Source organism: Homo sapiens, chromosome 21 (assembly GCF_000001405.40).
Source record: "Homo sapiens chromosome 21, GRCh38.p14 Primary Assembly".
Taxonomy (NCBI): Eukaryota; Metazoa; Chordata; class Mammalia; order Primates; family Hominidae; genus Homo; species Homo sapiens.
Genome location: NC_000021.9, coordinates 33,590,199 through 33,614,017, shown reverse-complemented (window position 1 = coordinate 33,614,017; position 23,819 = coordinate 33,590,199). Strand labels below are relative to the sequence as shown.

Here is a 23,819-nt window from a genome sequence, read left to right as displayed (position 1 = left end):
TATATTTTTAGTAGAGACAGGGTTTCTCCATGTTGGCCAGGCTGGTCTCAAACTCCTGACCTCATGATTCACCTGCCTCGGCCTCCCAAAGTGCTGGGATTACAGGCGTGAGCCACCACGCCCAGCCCATCAGGGAGAGTTTTAACAAGGAGTCCAGATGCTCCCAAGACTCTGACTTTGTTCTATAACATCAGCCATCATCTTACTGTCACTCAGAGGGGAAAGAAGAAAGCGATAGCAGGAGTGGCACAGTGCACTTCCCATCCCATTTCTGAATTTTTTCTTGTCCACACTAGTAATTACTGGAACCTTCCTCAAAATTTCACTGAACAAAATTTGTAATAATACTGGCCTCTCATTAGGAATGAATTTTTGACTTACATCCCTTTAATTTCTTGTTTTGATTTTTAGGAATTTTGCCCCTGGACTCTGAAGACCCTGGACTTTGTGAAGTTGTTAGAGTACATGAGCATTACTTGGGTATGTAGCAATTCAGTACTTTGGAGCTCACATAAGTCTTACTTCACTGACATATGGTTTAATAACATTTTAATTTTTTTGAATCTACCATAAGTGTTGTACTTAATAAAGTATCATTAGCCAGTCATGTATGTAAAAAATGTTGGCTGGTCATGTGAATACTTCTAGCTTATAATTAGTATTCATAAAATTCATATTCAGACTAAACAATATATAGACCTTTAAGTTTTACTAACACTGCTCATGGTAAGATCTTTGAAAAGTGATTTCTCTCTTGGCTCTTAAATTATATACCTAATCAGAATTAAAAATTTTTTTTTACTCTTGGTTATTGACTGAAACAAAAAACATATAAAATTTAGACAGTACATGGAGAGTTTGAGACGGGAAAGAATCAAGAACACTCATCTCAAGCTAGGTGTGGTGGCTCACACCTGTAATCCCAGCACTTTGGGAGGCCAAGGTGGGCAGGTCACCTGAGGCCAGGAGTTTGGGACCAGCCAGGCCAACATAGCAAAACCTGGTCTCTACTGAAAAGACAAAAAAATTAGCTGGGTGTGGTGACACGCACCTATAATTCCAGCTACTCAGGAGGATGAGGCATGAGAATTGCTTGAACTCTGGAGATGGAGCTGAGATTGCACCACTGCACTACAGCCTGGGTGACAGAGCGAGACTCTGTCTCAAAAAAGAAAAAAAAAGAGCACTTATCTTTGGTTTCTAATATCTTTTGACTAGTGTTGAGTTTAACTGAAATATTCGTTTTTAATTTTTCTTATGGTAATTTATTTTTTGAATATTTAAAGTACATGTACACACACACACACTTCATGAAACCATATTAAACAGTTGCTTCATCTCCTAAGTAATCAGGGGAAAGCAATTAAAACCACTTAGAGATAACATTATGCATCCACCAGACTGACAAAAGTTAAAAAGTCTGACCATCAGCCAGGCGCAGCGGCTCACGCCTGTGATCCTAGCACTTTGGGACGCTGAGGCGAGCAGATCATTTGAGGTCAGGAGTTTGAGACCAGCCTGGCCAACATGGTGAAACTCTGTCTCTACTAAAAATACAAAAAATCTTAGCTGGGCTGTTGGCGCACGCCTGTAATCCCAGCTACTCGGGAGGCTGAGGCAGGAGAATCACTTGAACCCGGGAGGTGGAGGTTACAGGGAGCCGAGATGGCACCACTGCACTCCAGCCTGGGTGACAAGAGTGAGACTTCATCTCAAAAAAAAAAAAAAAATGACCATCCCAAAGTGTGGGAAGGATGTGGAATGATGGAACCTTTCATGTGCTGGAGTGTAAGTTGGTACAAATATGTTAGAAAACAATTTAGCTTTATCTAATTAATGATGTATATATACCAGACCTAGTAATTCCACTCATGTAGCCTATGGAAATTTGATGTGCACTAGGAGGCATACTGCATAAGAGTTGATAGCAGCTTATTTGTAATAGTGAAAGAAACTGGAAACAGCCCAAATGTCCATCACCAAGCAAATAGATAATTGAAAATATTCATAGAATGAATTTCTATTGAGCAGTGAAAATGAGTAAGAGCTAAACATATCAAAGTGGATGACTCTCACAAACAGCATTGAGTGAAAAAAGCAAGTTACAGAAGAATACAAACAGTCCCATGCCATTTATTTATATACAGTTCAAAAATGTACAAAATTAAGCATATGTTATTTAAGGATATAGAGAAAAGGTAGAGGATGGAAAGTTGGGTGGAAGTTACCTGTGTGAGCAGGGGAGGAAGATGTGGTCAGTGGATACACCAGGACTCCAGTGGTACAGCCAGCATATATTTCTTATGCTGGAATTCATTATGTTCTTCATACCATATCCATAGTAGCAAATACCTTCTCTTATGTTCTTGAACTATTGAATTAAACCTTTTCCTAAGTTCTTTTCTTAAATAATGTGATCTCTAATCAGACCTTTTGGGGACAGAGGCTAATTTGGATTTGGGTCTTCCAAAAATAGTAATCTTACTCAGTTAAGTCCTTACAGTAACTTGAGCTAGGCTACCAAATCTTTGGCATTTCATTTCTAAAATTATAAATTTAAAGTAATTTTTATTTAAATTAATGTCATTCATTATATCTAAAATTTCCAATAATACTTTATTATTTTATTAAAAATTAATTTCCAAAAGACACTTTTTCAGAGATCTGAGGGCTGCACTTATTGGAACGTACATGAAGCCTAGTGAGGAGCCAAGTGTGTGTCTTCCTTTGAAAGATAAAGACCTCTTTCAAATACCACGCAGTGAGAGTCTCTAATCCAGAGCTATCTTGAAATTGTGCAGTTTGAAATTTGAGGACTGCCACGGGCTCCTTTACAGGAAACTATCCTATTTTTGGCCCCAGAGTTTCCTTGAATGGTTGGCCTTATTGCCCTGTTCTTTCGAGTACGTTGTGAATATGGAGTCTTTTCATTAAGTAACCAAAACTAAATTGCTATAGAAGATAAATTATTAAAAACAACAACAATTGGCTGGGCGCGGTGGCTCATGCCTGTAATCCCAGCACTTTGGGAGGCCGAGATGGGTGGATCGCCTGAGGTCAGGAGTCCGAGACCAGCCTGGCCAACATGGTGAAACCCGTCTCTACTAAAAATATAAAAACTAGCCGGGCATGGTCGTGGGCGCCTGTAATCCCAGCTACTCGGGAGGCTGAGGCAGGAGAATCGCTTGAACTCAGGAGACGGAGGTTGCAGTGAGCCAACAGTGCCACTGTACTCCAGCCTCGGTGACAGAGTAAGACTCTGTCTCAAAAAAAAAAAAAAAAAAAAAAAACAACCAAACAAGGCCCATTCCTTTAGGCACTGATGAACACTGGAGAATTATGACATGGACCAGAAGGAGAAAAGCAAATTAGAGCATCCATTTTCTAGCTATAAAGTTTAAGCTAAGACCGGCAAACCACACAAATGGCCTTTTTCTTCTACCTTATTTATAAATCAGGAGGATGGATTAAAGTCCAGAAATCCATTAAAGTATATAGAGAAAACAATTGCAGATATTCCTTGAGGAAGAAAACACAGCAAAATGTTTCTTTAAAAGAAGTACGACAGGCGTGGTGGCTCATGCCTGTAATCCCAGCACTTTGGGAGGCCAAGGCAGGTGGAACCCCTCAAAAGTTTGAGACCAGCCTGGCCAACATGACAAAACCCCGTCTCTACTAAAAATATAAAAAATTAGCCAGCTGTGGTGGCACATGCCTGTAGTCCGAGCTACTCAAGAGGATGAGGCACGAGACTCGCTTGAACCCAGGAGACAGAGGTGAGCCAAAATTGTGCCACTGTACTCCAGCCTGGGCAACAGAGCAAGACTCTGTCTCAAAAAAATAAAATAGCATAAAATAAGTACTTTAAGGCTGGGTGTGGTGGCTCATGCCTATAATCCCAACATTTTGGGAGGCTGAGGTAGGAGGATTGCTTGAGCCCAGGAGTTCAAGACCAGCCTTGGCAACTTGCTTGTCTCTACCAGCAAATAAAATTTTGTAAAAAAAAAAAAAAAAGGCTAGGCATGGTGGCTCACGCCTGTAATCCCAGCACTTTGGGAGGCCGAGGCGGGCGGATCACAAGGTCAGGAGATCGAGACCATCCTGGCTAACACAGTGAAACCCCCTCTCTACTAAAAAATACAAAAAAATTAGCCGGGCGTGGTGGCAGGTGCCTGTAGTCCCAGCTACTCAGGAGGCTGAGGCAGGAGAATGGCGTGAACCTGGGAGGTGGAGCTTGCAGTGAGCCGAGATCGCGCCACTGCACTCCAGCCTGGGCAACAGAGCGATAGAGCGAGACTCTGTCTGAAAAGAAAAGAAAAGAGAAGAGAAGGAAAGAAAGACTTTAAGAATGGGCAACATAGCAAGATCATCTCAACAAAAAGTTTGTTTAAAAAAAAAAAGTACTAGGCCAAGCACAGTAGCTCACACCAATAATCCCAGCACTTTGGGAGGCCAAGGCAGAGCCAATTGCTTGAGCTCAGGAGTCCGAGACTAGCCTGGATAACATGGTGAAACCCCATCTCTACAAGAAATAAAAAAAATAAATAAATAATAACTAGATATGGTGGTGTGTGCCTATAGTCCCAGCTGCTTGGGAGGCTGAGAAGGAAGAATCGCTTGAACCTAGGAGGTTGAGGCTACTGTTAGCTGTATTTGCGCCACTGCACTCTAGCCTGTCTCAGAAAAAAAGTAGTACTTTAAGAAGGAGCTCTTACACAGCAAAGGAAACAACAGTGTGCAGAGACAGCCTACAGACTGGGGGAAAATGTTGATAAGCCGTACATCTGATAAGGGGTTAATATAGTGATATAGAAGGAGCTCAGAAAACAGCAAGAAGAAAAAAACAATTAGAAAAGGGTCAAAGGACCTGAATAGACATTTCTCAAAAGAAGACATGTGAAAAAATACTCGACATCAGTAATCATTAGGGAAATGCAAATTAAAACCACAAAGAAATACCATCTCATACCTGTCAGAATAGCTGTTACCAAAAAGATGAAAGGTAAGTATTGGCGAGAATGTGGAGAAAAGGGAAACTTTGTACGCTATTGGTGAGAATGTAAACTAGTACAGTCATTATGGAAAGTGTATGAATGTTCCTCAAAAATCAAAACATAGAATTACCATATGATTCAGTAATCCTCCTTCTGGATATTTTCCCGGAAGCTTTGAAATCAGATGTCTTGCACTCCCATATTCATTGCAGCACTATTCACAACAGCCAAGTTGTGGACTCAACCTAAGTGTCCAGATGAATGAATAATATGATATAGATATACACAATGGAATACTGTTCAGCCTTTAAAAAGCAGGAAATTGTGTCATTTGTGACAACACAGATGGAAATGGAGAGCACTATGCTGAGTGAAATAAGCCAGGCACAGAAAGGCAGATACAGCATGTTCTCACTTCTATGTGGAATCTAAAACAAACTCATAGAGGCAGAGAGTAGAATGGTGGCTACAGAGGCTGCGGGCTGGGGAGAATGGAGTGTTGATGGACAAAGGGTATAAAATCTCAGCTAAACAGGAGGGATATGTTTTTATTTATTTGTTTATTCATGAGATGGAGTTTTGCTCTTATTGCCCAGGCTGGAGTGCAATGGCGTGATCTCGGCTCACTGCAACCTCCGCCTCCCAGGTTCAAGCAATTCTCCTGCCTCAGCCTCCCGAGTAGCTGGGATTACAGGTGCCAGCCGCCACACCTGGCTACTTTTTGTATTTTTAGTAGAGACGGGGTTTCTCCATGCTGGCCAGGCCCGTCTCGAACTCCTGACCTCAGGTGACCTGCCCACCTCGGCCTCCCAAAGTGCTGGGATTATAGGCGTGAGCCACCGCGCCCAGCCAAGGGATATGTTTTTATTTTCAGTTCTTTGCACAGCATGGTGAGTATAGTTAATAATAGAGTATTGTACATTTCAAAATTGCTGAGAGTAAATTTCAAATGTTTTCATCATAAAATATGTTAAGTATTTGAGATGATGGCTATGTTAACTTGCTTGATTTAATTATTCCACATTGTATTCGTAAATCATAGCATCATTTTGTGCCCCATAAATTTATACAATTATAACTTGTCAATTTACAATGTTTAAAAAAAAAAGAATGATGACTAACAGTGTGACCTTTAGGCTAGATCCTAGGCATGCTGACTGCATCTATAAATGAGGACACTCAACTGAATAACCTGTAATCTCTGTTGTAGCTCCAACCTTTTGTAAAAGGGAATAATTTCAGTTTCCCGGCAAGTTTGTAGGGGAAAACTTTCAGTTCACCACAACTCTATTTTAGTTTCTATTACTTTCCTGGTGATTTTTTTTGTATATAATTTGTTTTTATTTTTAATTTGTCTTTGGTGTTTTGTTTTTTGTTTGCTTGTTTATTTTTGAGACAGGGTCTTACTCTGTAGCCCAGGCTGCAGTGAAGTGGAATTATCACAATTCACTGCAGCCTCAAACTCCTGGGTTCAAGAGATCCTCCCACCTCAGCCTCCCAAGTAGCTGGGACAATAGGCATGCACCACCATGTCTGGCTAACTTTTTTTTGTAGAAACTGTCTTGCCATGTTGCCCAGGCTGGTCTCTAACTCCTGAGCTCAAGTGATCTTCCCGCCTTGGCCTCCCAAAGTGCTGGCATTACAGGTATGAGCCACTATGCCAGCCTTCATGATTGTTTAATGAGTGCTCAGTGCTCAGTCACTTTCAACTCAAATAAGTCTGTTCTTTACCAAACCAAAGAGCTATGTTTCAAACATTCCCCCAAAATGTGGTGTTAGTCCTATTTCTCAAACTTGATAATAGAGTTAAAGAGTAGAGTAATTCTTCCAACTCTTTTGTACTTTTCAGTTCTTAAGCAATTCTGTCAAGCCTAAAACTAATTTTATTTTTCATTCAAAATTTTCAGCATTGTTGTTTTTATTCCTTTGGAGCTAAACTAGAAAGAGATCAAATTATAATTCTTAGATGCTGAAATATGGCTCGCATTTATTTGTTTAATTGTTTTTTGAGATGGAGTTGCACTCTTGTTGCCCAGGCTGGAGTGCAATGAATGGTGTGATCTCAGCTCACTGCAACCTCTGCCTCCTGGGTTCAAGTGATTCTCCTGCCTCAGCCTCCCAAGTAGCTGGGATTACAGGCATGCGCCACCACGCCTGACTAATTTTTTGTATTTTTAGTAGAGATGGGGTTTCTCCATGTTGGTCAGGCTGGTCTTGAACTCCTGACCTCAGGTGCTCTGCCTGTCTCGGCCTCCCATAGTGCTGGGATTACAGGTGTGAGCCACTGCACCTGGCCTTATTTGTTTAGTTTTTATAACATAATAAACACCTGTGGACCCCCAACACAAAAGCAAGTGTGTTGACATTAACCCACATCTAACCATGCAATTTTTTTTTTGAGACAAAGTCTTGCCCTGTCACCTAGTCTGGAGTGCAATGGCGCGATCTCAGCTCACCGCAACCTCCATCTCCTGGGTTCAAGCGATTCTCCTGCCTCAGCCTCCCAAGTAGCTGGAATTACAGGTGCCTGCCACCATGCCTGGCTAATTTTTGTATTTTTAGTAGAGACGGGGTTTCACCATGTTGGCCAGGCTAGTCTCAAACTCCTGACCTCAGGTGATCTGCCTACCTTGGCCTCCCAAAGTGCTGGGATTACAGGTGTGAGCCACCTTGCCTGGCCGCAGTTAGCATTTCTTTAAGGACAACATGATTGAGTTTTTAATAAAAATATGGTAGTCCCAATCCTTTTGATAGAAGATGTTCCCAATAAGTAAATTATACGTTGATTGAGCGTGCACTGTTGAAATAGATGTGCTTTAAAGTCATATATTCACCTTATGAGCTATGTGGCATTAGACAAATTAATCAATTACCCTGAACCCTATTTCATCATCCGTAAAATTGGGAGAATAGCTATCTTAAAGAGTTACCTAAGGAATAAAGTACTGTGTGTGCTATCACCTGGTGCTTAATATGTTTTTACTGTTTTAATTCTCAGCTCTTGTCTGAGCATTTCAACATGCATGTTTGAATGCTCCACTTCGCCCACTAGATGGCACTAGTTTGTTGCTAAATGCAGTGCTGACTACTCTGGCTAGTCCACATGAATCATTGCTACTAGAGGAAGCATTTCAAAGAGCTGGTAAAGACTGTGAAAGTGTTATAAAGTTGATCTTAGGTAAAATGAGAAAGAATTTCTTGGCCAGGCGTGGTGGCTTACACCTGTAATCCCGGCACTTTGGGAGGCCAAGGTAGGCAGATCACCTGAGGTCAGGAGTTCGAGACCAGCCTGGCCAACATGGTGAAACCCCGTCTCTACTAAAAAAATACAAAAATTAGCCAGGCCTGGTGGTGTGCACCTGTAATCCCAGCTACTTGGGAGGCTGAGGCAGGAGAATTGCTTGAACCCAGGAGGGGGAGGGTGCAGTGAGCCAAGATCACACCACTGCACTCCAGCCTGGCGACAGAGTGAGACTCCATCTCAAAAAAAAAAGAATTCTTGTACTGCGGAAAAATTACATCAGTGTACAACATAAATACAAAACAAAAATTAAATAGTGAAACATGTTAAGGAATAGTTTCACGGTCAGATCATGCGGAACTTTTTAAACTATATTAGGAGTTGCATTTGGTTCCAAGTACAGTGTAAAGCCATTGATAAATTTTAAGCAGGGAATTGTTAGGATGTCAGTTATCTTTTTAAAATATCATTCTGATGATTCTGTTTTTTAAAGATACTGTTAAAGAGATTGAAAACAGAAGGCACAAAGTTGAAAATAATATTTACAGCACATGAACAAATGACTTCTCTAGAATATATAAAGAATTCCTGTAAAGCTCTAAATAAGAAAAAGACAAAACAATAGAAAAATTGATTAACACTTGAAAAAGGAATTCACAAAAGGAATTCCAGATGGCCAGTGAACATGGAAAGATGCTCAACCTCTTTTAGTAGTCAGAGAAAGCAAATTAAAATCATAGTAAGAAACTATTACCTACCTACATAATTGGTAAAAATATATAAATGTGATCATTCCACAAGTTGACAAGGACATTCACAGCAACAGGACACTACTGTGGGAAAGTAAATTGATGCAATTACTTTGGAAAGGTGTAGTTAAGGAACAGATAATATACCTGGGACCTAGGATTTCCACTCCAATTTAAGTATCCTAGGAAAACCCATGCACGGTGTAACAATATTTTTCATATACGAACACACTTAGCAGCATTGTTTGTAACTGACAAAAATTGGAGACAACACAAATGTTCATCAGCTAAACAATGGGTAAGCAAATGAAGGTGTTTTTAATATATTGGAATGCCATAAAACAACAAGAATGAAAGTGCTCTAACAGCCTCATCCACAGAATGGATGCCTTAAAAACATAATATGGAACATAAAAAGCAAGGTAGAAAAGAATGCATATGGTATGATTCCATTCAGATAAAGTTTAAAGCCTTGGCAATATGAAATTTTTTTTTTTTTTTTTTTGAGACGGAGTCTTGCTCTGTCACCCAGGCTGGAGTGCAGTGGTGCAATCTTAGCTCACTGCAACCTCCACCTCCCGGGTTCACACCATTCTCCTGCCTCAGCCTCTCCAGTAGTTGGGACCAAAGGCGCCTGCCACCACGCCTGGCTACTTTTTTTTTTTTTTTTTTTTTTTTGAGACGGAGTCTCGCTGTGTCACCCAGGCTGGAGTGCATTGGCATGAGCTCTGCTCGCTACAAGCTCTGCCTCCCGGGTTCACACCATTCTCTTGCCTCAGCCTCTCCGAGTAGCTGGGAATACAGGCGCCCGCCACCACGCCTGGCTAATTTTTTGTATTTTCAGTAGAGACGGGGTTTCACCGTGGTCTCGATCTCCTGAGCTCGTGATCCGCCCGCCTCGGCCTCCCAAAGTGCTAGGATTACAAGCGTGAGCCACCACGCCCGGCCAGAGACGGGGTTTCACCGTGTCAGTCAGGATGGTCTCGATCTCCTGACCTCGTGATCTGCCTGCCTCGGCCTCCCAAAGTGCTGGGATTACAGGCGTGAGCCACCACGCCAGGCCAGGAAATTGTATTGTTTAGGAATGCGTACTAATGAGTGATACAAATAAGAAATTGCATGAGAATGGTGGTGACCTTTGGTGAGGAGAGAAGAGGCTGCTGGGGTGATGGTTGTGCTCTCTCTCCACCAGGATGGTATACCGTTAACTTTGCATATTTCCTTTATATTTATTCATCCAGCTATATTTTATATTTTACATACTTTTTCTGCACATTTTATTTCACAATATAAAAAGTTTTAAAAATACACACACACTGACTCCTATATGGAGAATTATTCATGGGCAAATAATGGAAAGTATTGTAGGTGAGAGAGAATGGGAGTAGGGGCTTGGACCAGGGCCATAGTAGTACTAGAGATGGAGAGAAATAGATCCAGGAGGTAGGACTTGTGGGACTTGCTAACAGATTGTTTCTTCTTGTTCTTTATGATAGTTCATAAACCAGAAAAGGTCACATGGACGGAAGCAGCAGGAAGCATTCGGGATGGAGTGCGTGCCTATACAGCTCTGCATTATCTTTCTCATCTCTCTCCTGGAAAATCAGTGCTGATAATGGATGGAGCAAGTGTAGGTGCTAATGGTTTTGTTAAGAAACAGACAAGCATACAGTAAACTTAGGAAATTTAGCAATGAGCCATCCATTTGCTAATATAATTCTTTGCCAATAGCTTATTGATTGACTTTTTTTCCAGTGTCCTATTTTGTTATAATAAGCAGCTTTTATCAATAGAAGATCAAAGTTAGATTTAGTGTGATTAGTTTATGACTTTGAATCTGCTGGTACATTAAAAAGACAAGCCATTTTTATTCATTCCTGTTAGACAAAGCCTAAGATGCCACATGAGCCTTTGAAGTCATAGTCCAGAATTCCCTAATAGCTTTGTAGCCTATTTCCCACCCTCACACTTACGTTGATCAAGTATTGGCATTTTATGTATAGATGGATCACACAAAAGATCAACACGTCCTAATTTAAACATATTACATATATCAAAAAATAGTTCAAGACACTAAAAGAATACATAAAATATTGTCATCTAAAAATGTTAAGAAAATCTTGAAATTAACTTATAGTTTTATTTTCTAACTGGCTTGTGATGAAATGCTTTCTTCCTGCTTTTCTTTGAAGAAAAGGCAAAGCTGTCTTCAGCACTGGCTTCAGCCTGATATCCAACATCAGGATAGTAGTGTTTCCCCAAACTTACCCTATAGGTCTGAACAGGATGGAGCTTTTGAAGTGTTTTGATCTTCAAAGAGAGATAGCTGGACTCCCATATATAGTATATAATTAGCTTAGACCATCGCATTGACAAGGCCCAGTTTTCTCTTTGCAAGGCCATGTGTCTGAATGTGGCCCTCCATCCTTGAAATTATGTGCTGTGGTCAGACTGAGTGACAGCGTGTGACATGCAGCTTTTCCACCACCCCTTGTAAAGAAGAAAGTCAATCAAATATTTCCCCTATTAAACTTGCCCATAACTTTGCTCTTTTCCTATTAGATAACATTTTAAAATATACTAAAGTAACACTAAAGAATTATACTTTATTAAATAATATAAAGAAATCAATTCGATATGGCCTCTGTTCTATAACCATACACCCACTGTATATTTTTTTCTACACAGGCATTTGGTACAATAGCTATTCAGTTAGCACATCATAGAGGAGCCAAAGTGATTTCAACAGCATGCAGCCTTGAAGATAAGCAGTGCCTTGAAAGATTCAGACCTCCCATAGGTGGGTAATATTATGAGCACAGACTTTAAAACAGGAAATTTTGAAGGAAAATCACCTTTAAAAATGTACTTGTAAAACCAAGTACAAAATCCCTGGCCAGGTGCAGTGGCTCACAACTGTAACCTCAGCACCTTGGGAAGCCAGGATGGGAGGATTGCTTGAGCCCAGGAGTTTGAGACCAGCCTGAGCAACATAGAAGACCTCATCTATATATAATCTTAAAAAAAAAAAAAAAGAATTTATAAAATCCCAAATGAAAGTCAGTTTCAAAATGCAGTGTATGTGCTATCTCCCAATTTGCTTTTTTTTTTTTTTTTGAAACAGGGTCTCACTGTGTCACCCAGCTGGAGTACAATGGCACAATCGTGGCTCACTGCAGTATGGACCTCCCCAGGGTCAGGTGATCCTCCCACCTCAGCCACCTGAGTAGCTGGGACTACAGGCATATGCCATCACGCCCAGCTAATTTTTTGTATTTTTTGTAGAGACGGGTTTAGCCATGTTGCCTAGGCTGGTATCAAACTTCTGAGCTCAAGCAATGCACCCACCTTGGCCTCCCAAAGTGCTGGAATTACAGGCATGAGCCACCATGTCCAGCCCCAGTTTACTTAAGTGATAGTTTTAATTTTAATTATTTTTTTTTAAACTTACATTTTTCAATGTTTTTTCCTGTTTGCCCCATTGTTTTCAACAATTTACTTAATTTTGAATTAGGTGAACTTTGATGCAGTTTAGAAACACCTGATGCAGGCTGGGTGTGGAAGAACTAGAGACAAGCCTCAGAGAACTAGCTTCTCCAAGGATATACACCTAGTAAAGGACTGGAATGAGATTTGAACCCAGGCCTGTCTGACAGTAAAGCTCACATTATTTCCACTGTTACATTATGCTTGTGACAGAGATAACCAAGAAATAGAAGGAAGGCAATACAGGGGCTGGAGAAAGGAGGAGAAAAGGAAAAAGAAGAGATCTGAAAATAGAATGGAGAAAGAGCACAGGCTGGGCGTGGTGGCTCACATCTGCAATCCCAGCACTTTGGGAGGCCGAGGCGGGTGGATCACTTGAGGTGAGGAGTTCAAGACCAGCCTGGCCAACGTGATGAAACCCCATCTCTATTAAAAATACAAAAATTAGCTGGGCGTGGTGGCAGACGCCTGTAATCCCAGCTACTCAGGAGGCTAAGGCAGGAGAATTGCTAGAACCTGGGAGGTGGAGGTTGCAGTGAGCCGAGATCGTGTCAGTGCACTCCAGCCTGGGCAACAGAGCGACAGTCCGCCCCCAAAAAAAAAAAAAAAAAAAACTTTATGGACCGGGCACAGTGGCTCATACCTATAATCCCAGCACTTTGGGAGGCCAAGGCGGGCAGATCATGAGGTCCAGAGATGGAGACCATACTGGCTAACATGGTGAAACCTGTCTCTATTAAAAATACAAAAAAAAAATTAGCTGGCATGGTGGCGGGCACCTGTAGTCCCAGCTACTCGGGAGGCTGAGGCAGGAGAATGGCGTGAACCTGGGAGGCAGAGCTTGCAGTGAGCCGAGATCGCGCCACTGCACTCCAGACTGGGTGACAGAGCGAGACTCCATCTCAAAAAAAAAAAAAAGCATGAATGGTATTAAAAAAAAGAACATGAACGAAGGGAAAATTTCTTATTTGTTAATTTGCCTTTCCTAGATTGCTTTGTCCCCCTTTCCCTTTTGTCCTCTTCCTCCTTGCCTCCAAGTCCTAGATTACTCTGTTGGACTACACCACTAATCTGAGCAGCTCTAAGAGGAATTCTCTTCAGCTAGAAGGTGTTGAAAGATAGAGAAAGGAAATACAAACATGTTGTTATTTGCCAGTTCAAAATTCTGAGAATTATTTTTAATTCTGTCAATAATTTATATTCTATTAATAGGATACTACTAATATCCTTTAATGCAGCCAATTAAAATCTGTTTAATTTTTACTGACTTGCCTAAAAATCATGCTCCTTTTCCTTAGCTTTAAGATTTTTCTTCATTTGGGAGAGTAAGTGGGGAAGAGAGGGAGATTTCTATGACTGAGAAAGGGTGAAACAGCCTCTAGTAGATAATTACCATATTATACAAATACAGACTGTCCCCAGCTGACAGTGTTTCGATTTAGGATTTTTTAAATGTTACGATCGGTTTATTGGGGTATAGAGTGCATTTTTGACTTACGGTGGGTATATTGGGATGTAGCCCATCGTAAAGATGAGCATATCATCTGTATATTTTTATGTTTTTTAGCTCTAAAGACTATTAAATATGAACATACTTGAGAAACTACTTAATCTAGCTGGGGGTGGTGGCTCACCCTATAATCCCAGGGATTTAGGAGGCCAAGGCAGGAGGATCACATGAAGCCAAGAGTTCAAAAATAGCTTAGGCAACATAGCAAGACCCTCTCCCTACAAAAAAAAATTAAAAAAATAGCCATGCGTGGTGGCATGTACCTGTAGTCCTAGCTACTTGGGAGGCTAGGGCAGGAGGATTGCTTGAACCCAGGAGTTCAAGGCTGCACTGGGCTGTGATCACACCACTGCACTCCATTCTGGGCAATGGAGTGAGAACCTGTCTGAAAAAAAAAAAGAAACTGACTTAATCTTCCATTTCATGTCGTATTATATATGTACCTCTGTGTTTTCAGATTCCTAATTCTGGCAACATATCCTATAACTGTAGAGAATAGTGCTCTGTGTCAACAGACCAGCCTTGGATCACCTTCTCCACAAAATGTTCACATTTTAGTTTTATTAAATATACAAGTCTCTTCATTTAGACTGCTATATCCCATATTGGGTTAGATGAGAAAAAGTATAATTTAAATTGACTTTCTCCCTTTAAATTCAGTAATTGTTTGAATTGCTTAACTCATTTCAAGAATAGATATTTATTTGCTTTTCTTTTTCTTTTTCCCTGATTTGTTTGTGTTGATCACATAGAGAACAGTACAATTGCCTGATTTCCTGTCCTTTACAGCCCGAGTGATTGATGTATCTAATGGGAAAGTTCATGTTGCTGAAAGCTGTTTGGAAGAAACAGGTGGCCTGGGAGTAGATATTGTCCTAGATGCTGGAGGTAGGTACCTTATGAAATTAGTAGCCTGTGTAGTTTTTTTAGTTTGATGAATTTAAGAAAAAAAATTTAACCAGGGCATAATTATTAATGCACTTATTAAACCAGATGTTCAGTTTTAGGTTTTGTTTTTAACTGAAGACTTTTTAATTTAAATTGGAACTTCCACTTTATTCTCATTGTAAGCGCTGTATGTAAGAGAGAACATGCTTATCTTTTACAGCGTAGACTAGGGGTGTCCAATCTTTTGGCTTCCCTGGCCACATTGGAAGAAGAATTGTCTTAGGCCACACATAAAATACAGTAACACTAATGATATCTTATGAGCCAAAAAAAAAAAAAAAAACTCAAAAATGTCTTATAATGTTTTAAGAAAGTTACGAATTTGTGTTGGGCAGCATTTAATGCCATCCTGGGCAGGCTGCGAGTTGGACAAGCTTGGTGTAGACATTAGAGTAACAAATGACATATCGCTACAAGAAATCTAGAAACATGGCCTCCTCAGTGGCTCCCAGAAAACACAGCATCATTCTCATGCCTTTTCAGTCCCATCTGCTGTGTGTGGCTGCCTTCGATTGGATAGTTGACTTCTGCAGTCTCTATTTGGAAAATATCAAAATTTGTTCCAGTTTCACTTTTCTTGAATGTTTTTAGTTTAACCAGTATTTATTTAACACTTACTCTGAACACACTTAAGTAATAGCATGACTTCTAAAGGATAGGCTTTACGAGCCTGCAAAGTGCTTCTATTTATACTTTGGTAGGATTTATCTTCTAATGTGAGAATCATGGATGAATATGGTTATGACTATAGTGTGGTTTTTTAAACCAGTATTTTCTAAGATTTGAAAATAGCTCAGGAAAATCTGTCAGTGGAAGTAAATACATACTTTATTGCATCATTTTTTCACATGGACATTTCAGTAATTATGTTAAGACTATCTTGAGTCTATGAGTTTTTTAATTGGGAATCAATTCATCTCACTATATTAAGCTATCAGTGTTAATTGTCAGATTTGGTTATGTGTTACATTACTTTGCCTGGTTTTCAAATGAAGATAGACTTTTTATCTTTATTTATTTCTATAATAAGTAGATTTACAATAAATTACAATTAAATGTTGAATAAATTTTATGATCAGTTTAATGCAAAAAGTAGATTTTAAGGTATCAGAATACATTGTGTGTTGCTTTTTCTAAGAAAAATATTTCCTCATTTGTACATTAAAAAGTAAGGAGGGCTGGGTGCTGTGGCTCATGCCTGTAATCCCAGCACTTTGGGAGGCCGAGGCGGGCGGATCACGAGGTCAGGAGATTGAGACCATCCTGGCTAACACAATGAAACCCCGTCTCTACTAAAAATACAAAAAAAAATTAGCCGGGCATGGTGGCGGCGCTTGTAGTCCCAGCTACTCAGGAGGCTGAGGCAGGAGGATGGCGTGAACCCGGGAGGCGGAGCTTGCAGTGAGCCTAGATCGCGCCACTGCACTCCAGCCTGGGCGACAGAGCGAGACTCCGTCTCAAAAAAAAAACAAAAAGAGAGTGCCGGCGGACACAGTGGCCTGTGCCTGTAGTCCCAACTACTCATGAGGCTGAGGCTGGAGGATTGCTGGAGTCCAGGCCAGCCTGGGCAACATAGTAAGACCTTGTCTCTAAATAAATAAGAACTTGTTTGAAGAATAAATTTTTGTCAGATTATTATAAAATATATTTCTTCTCTCTCTCTTTTTTTAAAACTATTCCCTTGCAAGTGAGATTATATAGTAAAGATGATGAACCAGCTGTAAAACTACAACTACTACCACATAAACATGATATCATCACACTTCTTGGTGTTGGAGGCCACTGGGTAACAACAGAAGAAAACCTTCAGGTACTATCAGAAACCATAAAGCGTTACCATTACACCAAAGGGGTGTAATTAACAAACAATAATGCCTAAGTTATTTGAGGCAAGGTATGACTAAATTAGTATAAAATCTGGGCCAGGCATGGTGGCTCACACCTATGAGTCCAGCACTATGGGAGGCCGCGGCGGGCGGATCACTTGAGGCCAGGAGTTCAAGACCAGCCTGGCCAACATGGTGAAACCCCATCTCTACAAAAAATACAAAAATTAGCCAGGCATGGTGGCACAGGCTTATATTCCCAGCTCCTTGAGAGACTGAGGGCTGAGGCATGAGAATTACTTGAACCTGGGAAGCGGAGGTTGTAGTGAGCCGAGATTGCGCCACTCCACACCAGCCTGGGTCACAGAGTGAGACTCTGTCTCAAAAAAAAAAAAAGAAAAAAATCTGAAAAATAAAGAAATTTAGCTTTTTTTTTCCATTCCATATTTTATATCAGAAAGAAATGTAGCTTTTTTTTTCACTTTAGCAACATGTTGGCCAAAATGTTGAAATACTGCCTAGTAGAGACATCCTTTCAATGACGATGAAGTGTAATTTTATTTAGTGATTTAGACATGTGACTTACGAATTTATTTTATTTTATTTTTTTATTTTTTTATTTTTTGGAACAAAGTTTCGCTCTTGTTGCCCAGGCTGGAGCACAATGGCATGATCTCGGCTCACTGCAACCTCTGCCTCCCAGGTTCAAGCGATTCTCCTGCCTCAGCCTCCTGAGTAGCTGGGATTACAGGCGCCCGCCACCACGCCCAGTTAATTTTTGTATATTTAGTAGAGACAGGGTTTCACCATGTTGACCAGGGTGGTCTTGAACTTCTGACCTCAGGTGATCCACCTGCCTCGGCCTCCCAAAGTGCTGGGATTACAGGTGTGAGCCACCACGCTGGCATGAATTTTTAATAGTATTTCAGATAGCATTTTTTCTCGGTGACATTGTTGACATATACTTAGCAAAATATTTCTATATAAAATTATCACAATTTCCTAATTATTCAAATTGGAATTACTATATATGTTTATGTATCTCTCAAGGTTATATTTTTCAGCATTCTAGTTACATATTTACATGATGGCTGATATGCAAATACCGTAATTCTCACCTACCAATCTTCACTGATTTTCCAACACCCTCATGAAGATGGCCAGAAAAGACACACACACACCCCTACCACTTCACCACCAGGATTCTAGATTGGCCTTGCATCTGCCATGTACTTATCACCTCGCTGTTTCATCATTTTGGACCATGAAATAGAAAATATTATCGTTTACGTTATTAAAGTTTATGTGCATATTTTTGTGATTTGGACATCATTTAATTTGTGTAGAAGTTTTTCTGACTCGAGATACCAGTCATCCTGCTGTTAAACTCACAATAATTGATTAGTCTTTGTTTCATTCTATCCAAGTTGGATCCTCCAGATAGCCACTGCCTTTTCCTCAAGGGAGCAACGTTAGCTTTCCTGAATGATGAAGTTTGGAATTTGTCAAATGTACAACAGGGAAAATATCTTTATATCCTTTTTATCGACTGATTGAGTTTCTGGCTTGAACTTTGTACTGTACTAAGTTCTTTCATTACGATAATAGGAAATAATAATAGCAGTTAAGTTTCCTTAAGTATTCCAAACAGTATTCCAAGTGCCTTGCAAGTATTCATTTAAACATTAAAACAGCCTTTTGAGATGTAAGTACTGTTATCATCCCCATTTCACAGGTGAAGAAACAGAAGCACAGAGATGTTGATACAGACTCAAGGACGCAGCAAGTGGCGGAGCAAGAATCACACTCAGGCAGTCTCTCTCCTTTCTGAACAGAGATGAGCCCTAAGATACCTGGAAGATTTTGTTTTTAACCTCACATTAAGGAAAGCACACATCACCTTGAAAGGTTGCACACTTACTCCTATGATGGTGCCATTGCACAGAAACATTTCAGAATACTTTTCTAAATTAAAGAGTTTGTGGAGTGTTTTATAAATATCAATGCTAGGAAATCTTTATCAAATGAAGATAGGTTTGACTTTTTGAAACAAAAGTCATTCAGAGATAAGTCTGGTGTGATTGAAGCCAAATCATTCCAGTTGAGTAAAAATAATAAAAAGTTTGGAATATACAAACAATTTCAAAAAGAAAGGTGCAAACCTCTTTAGAGTAGGGTCAACTTAAGAATTCCTTTTATTTCTAAAATGACTGGCTTAGAGGCAGCAGCACTTGGTAAAAGTTTTAATGTATTGGATAAAAAAAAAGTTATCATTACTTGATAGAGCATATGTGTGTGTCTGAAGAAAGATTTACATAGCCTTACACTTCTCTCTACTGAATATCATACGTTACTTTTCTTAAATGTGTCTAGTCATATATGTGTGATATGTATAAAGGCCAGTTCCCTCCAGGAGCAATGACAGTCTTTATTCGGAGCTTTAAGGTAGTTATGTAGGCCGGGCATGGTGGCACATGCCTGTAATCCCAGCTACTCATGAGGCTGAGGCAGAAGAATCGCTTGAACCTGGGAGGCAGAGGTTTCAGTGAGCCAAGATTGCACTACTACACTCCAGCCTGGTGACAGAGTGAGACTCCATCTCAAAAAAAAAAAAAAAAAAAAAAAGTTACGTAATTAGTATACTGCATGTGTTAAGTTTTAAGGAGTAGATTTCAAAACCCCTTCATGTAGTGAATGTATGAGTTTAAAGTTATTTCTGATTAAATATTTCCTATTAAATTTGAAAATTAGATTTAACTTTCTAAAAGGATTTTTAATTAATTTCATTTTTTAAAAAGGTACATGAGCTGGCACAGTGGCTCATGCCTGTAATCCCAGCACTTTGGGAGGCCGAGGTGGGGGATCACGAGGTCAGGAAATCGAGACCATCCTGGCTAACATGATGAAACCCCGTCTCTATTAAAAATACCAAAAAAAAAAAAATTAGTTGGGTGTGGTGGCACACGCCTGTAGTCCCAGCTACTCCAGAGGCTGAGGCAGGGGAATTGCTTGAACCCAGGCAGTGAAGGTTGCAGTGAGCTGAGATCGCGCCACTGCACTCCAGCTTAGCTACAGAGCGAGACTCTGTCTCAAAAAAAAAAAAAAAAGTAAATGTCCAATCCAATAACATTGTAATTATTAAGAATAACATGGAATGATGCTACAGTGGAGAATACCATGTGGCTATTAAAAGTAACAGTTAACAAAAGTAACATTAGTTAAGGTTAGAATACTATGTAGCTATTAGTTTTGATTTTTTTTTTTTTTTTTTTTTTTTTTTTGAGACAGAGTCTCACTCTTGCCCAGGCTGGAGTGCAGTGGCATGAGCTTGGCTCACTGCAACCTCCAACTCCTGGGTTCAAGCAATTCTCCTGTCTCAGCCTCCTGAGTAGCTGGGATTACAGACATGCGCCACCACGCCTGGCTAATTTTTTGTATTTTTTAGTAGAGACGGAGTTTCACCATGTTGGTCAAGCTGGTCTCAAACGCCTAACCTCAGGTGATCCACACGCCTCAGCCTCCCAAAGTGCTGGGATTACAGGCATGGGCCACCACTCCCGGCTGTAGCTATTAGTTTTGAATCTTACATGTTGGAAACTAGACTGCTCTGCTTATAGTATATAACTTAATTCTCTCAAACCACCTCTCCCGATGAGAAGGCAATTTTAACCTATTTGACAAATCCTTGGACCAAGTTGAAACATGACATGTGTATATGAAATACTGTACATTTTCCAGAATCAGAAATACATGCTTTGCACACAGGTAAGAATTTTATTAACAGCAGTAGGAAGGGAACTTGCAGGGATGTGAATTAGTAAATTTATATTCTTTAGTTTCCTTTTAAAAATATTTTTAGGCCAGGTGTGGTGGCTCACGCCTGTAATCCCAGCACTTTGGGAGGCCAAGGTGGGCGGATCACGAGGTCAGGAGATTGAGACCATCCTGGCGAACATGGTGAAACCCCTTCTCTACTAAAAATACAAAAAATTAACCAGGCATGGTGGCGGGCACCTGTAGTCCCAGCTACTCGGGAGGCTGAGGCAGGAGAATGGCATGAACCCAGGAGGCGGAGCTTGCAGTGAGCCGAGGTCGTGCCACTGCACTCCAGCCTGGGCAACATAGCGAGACTCCGTCTCAAAAAAAAAGAAATGTTTTAAATGACTTATATTTGCTAATTTGCATTTTCTTTCTTTCTTTTTTTTTTTTTTTGAGATAGAGTCTCGCTCTGTCACCAAGGCTAGAGTGAAGTGGCGCCATCTCAGCTCACTGCAACCTCTGCCTCCCAGGTTCAAGCAATTCTCCTGTCTCAGCCTCCCAAGTAGCTGAGACTATAGGCGCATGCCACCATGCCCACCTAATTTTTGTATTTTTAGTAGAGGCAGGATTTCACCATATTGGTCAGGCTGGTCTCGAACTCTTGACCTCAGGTGATCCACCTGCTACAGCCTCCCAAAATGCTGGGATTACAGGCGTTAGCCACCGCACCCAGCCCTAATTTGCATTTTCTAAAGTCCTGAATCATACAGTAGTCCTCACTTGTGCAAACCCTCCTCATTCAGTTCATACAAGCTAAGTTGCTGCTTGTGATTTAACAGAGACATCTCCTTCCAACTGTGTCATTCTGGGCCATAAATAATTCAGAAGTACGGGCAATTACATAGAATCTTGATCTTAGTATTATAATTTCAATTAAATTAGCAAGATAGATTTTTTCTTTGATTTTTACATCATTTTCTGATTCTCTTAGTGACATACGATCAGCCCCCTGTATCTGAGGGTTCCACATCCAGGGATTCAACCAATCAAGGATCAAAAATATTTGGAGGCTGGGGGCAGTGGCTCATGCCTGTAATCCCAGCACTTTGGGAGGCTGAGGCAGGAGGATGGCTTCATCTCAGGAGTTTGAGACCAGCCCGGGCAACATAGGGAGACCCTGTCTATACAAAAATAAAAATAAATTAACCTGGTGTGGCGGTGAATTGCTGTGGTCCCAGCTACTTGGGAGGCTGAGGATCACTAGAGCCTGAGAGGTTGAGGCTGCAGTGAGCCATGATCATGCCACTGCACTCTAGCCTGGGCCACAGAGGGGGCCCCTGTCTCAAAAAAAAAAAAAAAAAGCTCTGAAAAAGTAATAATACGACAATAAAAAAAACAAAAAAAATAGCATAACCACTATCTACATAGTATTTACATTGCATTAGGTATTATAAGTAATATAGAGATGACTTAATGTATAATGGAGATGTGCCTCGGTTATATGCAAATACTAGGCCATTTTTTTTTTCTTTCTTTTTTTTTTTCTTTTGAGACAGGGTATTGCTCTGTTGCCCTGGCTGGAGTGCAGTGCTCATTCCAGCTCACTGTAACCTCAAACCCATGTGCTCAAGGGATCCTCCTGCCTCAGCCTCCCCAGTAGCTGGGGCAACAGGCACATGCCACCATGCCTGGCTAATTTTTAATTTTTTTGTAGAGAGCCTTGTTTCCCAAGCTGCTGCACTATTTTCTATAAGGGACTTGAGTATCTGGAGATTTTGGTCTTCATGGGGGTCCTGGAACCAATCCCTCATGGATGCGTGAGGGATGACTGTATATCATACACACATAAAGTTTACTGGCTTCTGCAAACAAATTTTGAGCCCATTAACCAACCAGCCTGGTCAACGAATGTACATCTAAAGTAAGATATATACGTGCTAAAATTGTTTTTAACTAAAAATGCCATATGTAGTGTAGAAATGAAAACTAGACACTATTTCATTCGCATCCATTGAGATAATAGTGGTGAGCACTTAGGATAAGCACCAGGCTTGACTTGCTGCTCTTGTCACTTGTCCTTGGAAATTTAGGCTCTATTACACCACCAACTCTCAAATCATTTCCCTGTTGTAGAGCTAAACTTGACGTCCTACAGAATTTCTCTAACTTAACATGTTGAGTCTCTGAGAGTGCAAAACTTGAAACAAGAGAAAGTGGCCTGCCTGGCATCCTCTGCTTATTGAATGGTTTTATTTAATTCTCCTTTACATTGCCACCTTAACAATCCTTCCAGCTACGTATCTTAAAGGATGTGATGGAGAAGTTATCAACTGGTGTTTTCAGGTACGCTAAAGTAACCAAATCATTGTTCTTGTTTGTTTTTCTATTTTCAGGGAGCTAAGGCAGGCAGTCCCACTTTTGTTTTAGCTCTCGCCATGTACCTGTTGCCTCCATATTTTATTATTAGGTTGGTGCAAACATAATTGTGGTTTTTGCCATTGAAAGTAATGGCAAAAACTGCATTTACTTTTGCACTGATCTTATATTTCGTTTAAATAGCTGCTCTTTAATATTTATCAAAGTGTATCTGGTGGTACACCAGTAGGTACTCGCAGAGATAGAAGTGGCTTGTGAGTTTTCCTCACTCCATTATGTAGTGTACCTCACCCTTTGCTTTTCCTCATCACCCCTCCCAAAGCAACTTGAAGTAACCAATAGCTTGAAGGAGAGAAAACCATGGTATATTTGTTTAAAGTTGAATATGTTTATCAGTTATAAAAGAGGGAGTAGGCCAGGCGTGGTGGCTCACGCCTGTAATCCCAGCACTTTGGGAGGCTGAAGTGGGTGAATCACCTGAGATCAGGAGTTCGAGACCAGCCTGGCCAACATGGCAAAACACTGTCTCTACTAAAAAATAGAAAAATTCGCTGAGCGTGGTGGCGAACGCCCATAATCCCAGCTACTGGGAGGCTGGGGCAGGAGAATTGCTTGAACCTGGGAGGTGAAGGTTGCAGTGAGCCGAGATCACACCATTGCACTCCAGCCTGGGCAACAAGAGAAACTCCGTCTCAGAAAAAAAGAGGGAGTAAATAAAGTAGATAATTTTTTTCCTTCAAAACTTAACCACTTTTAACATTGGAAACACTAATGGACGAATTTGTTTGAATTACTTAAAGTAATAGATTTGAGGCCGGGTGCAGTGGCTCATGCCTGTAATCCCAGCACTTTGGGAGGCTAAGGTGGGTGGATCACTTGAGGCTAGGAGTTCAAGACCAGCCTGGCCAACATGGTGAAACCCATCTCTAC

General features: G+C 40.6%; 1 protein-coding gene across 1 annotated transcript in view, besides 1 other annotated feature; it reads left to right on the top strand.

Moving 5' to 3' along the window:
* CRYZL1 (crystallin zeta like 1) overlaps nt 1-23,819 on the top strand; it is a 52,401-nt gene that overhangs the window by 27,724 nt on the left and 858 nt on the right. Inside the window, exons 6-12 of the mRNA NM_145858.3 lie at nt 412-480; nt 10,481-10,614; nt 11,673-11,784; nt 14,770-14,868; nt 16,617-16,738; nt 18,182-18,287; nt 22,811-22,856. Coding sequence (NP_665857.2) covers nt 412-480; nt 10,481-10,614; nt 11,673-11,784; nt 14,770-14,868; nt 16,617-16,738; nt 18,182-18,287; nt 22,811-22,856 — 688 coding nt within the window. The remainder of the gene's footprint in view (nt 1-411; nt 481-10,480; nt 10,615-11,672; nt 11,785-14,769; nt 14,869-16,616; nt 16,739-18,181; nt 18,288-22,810; nt 22,857-23,819) is intronic.
* Nucleotides 8,090-8,179: an enhancer, noted in NCBI's record as "active region_18382". NCBI's record gives its function as "activates an Ori minimal core promoter by ATAC-STARR-seq in GM12878 lymphoblastoid cells {active_cell/tissue: GM12878}" and the evidence as "EXISTENCE:reporter gene assay evidence [ECO:0000049][PMID:35858748]".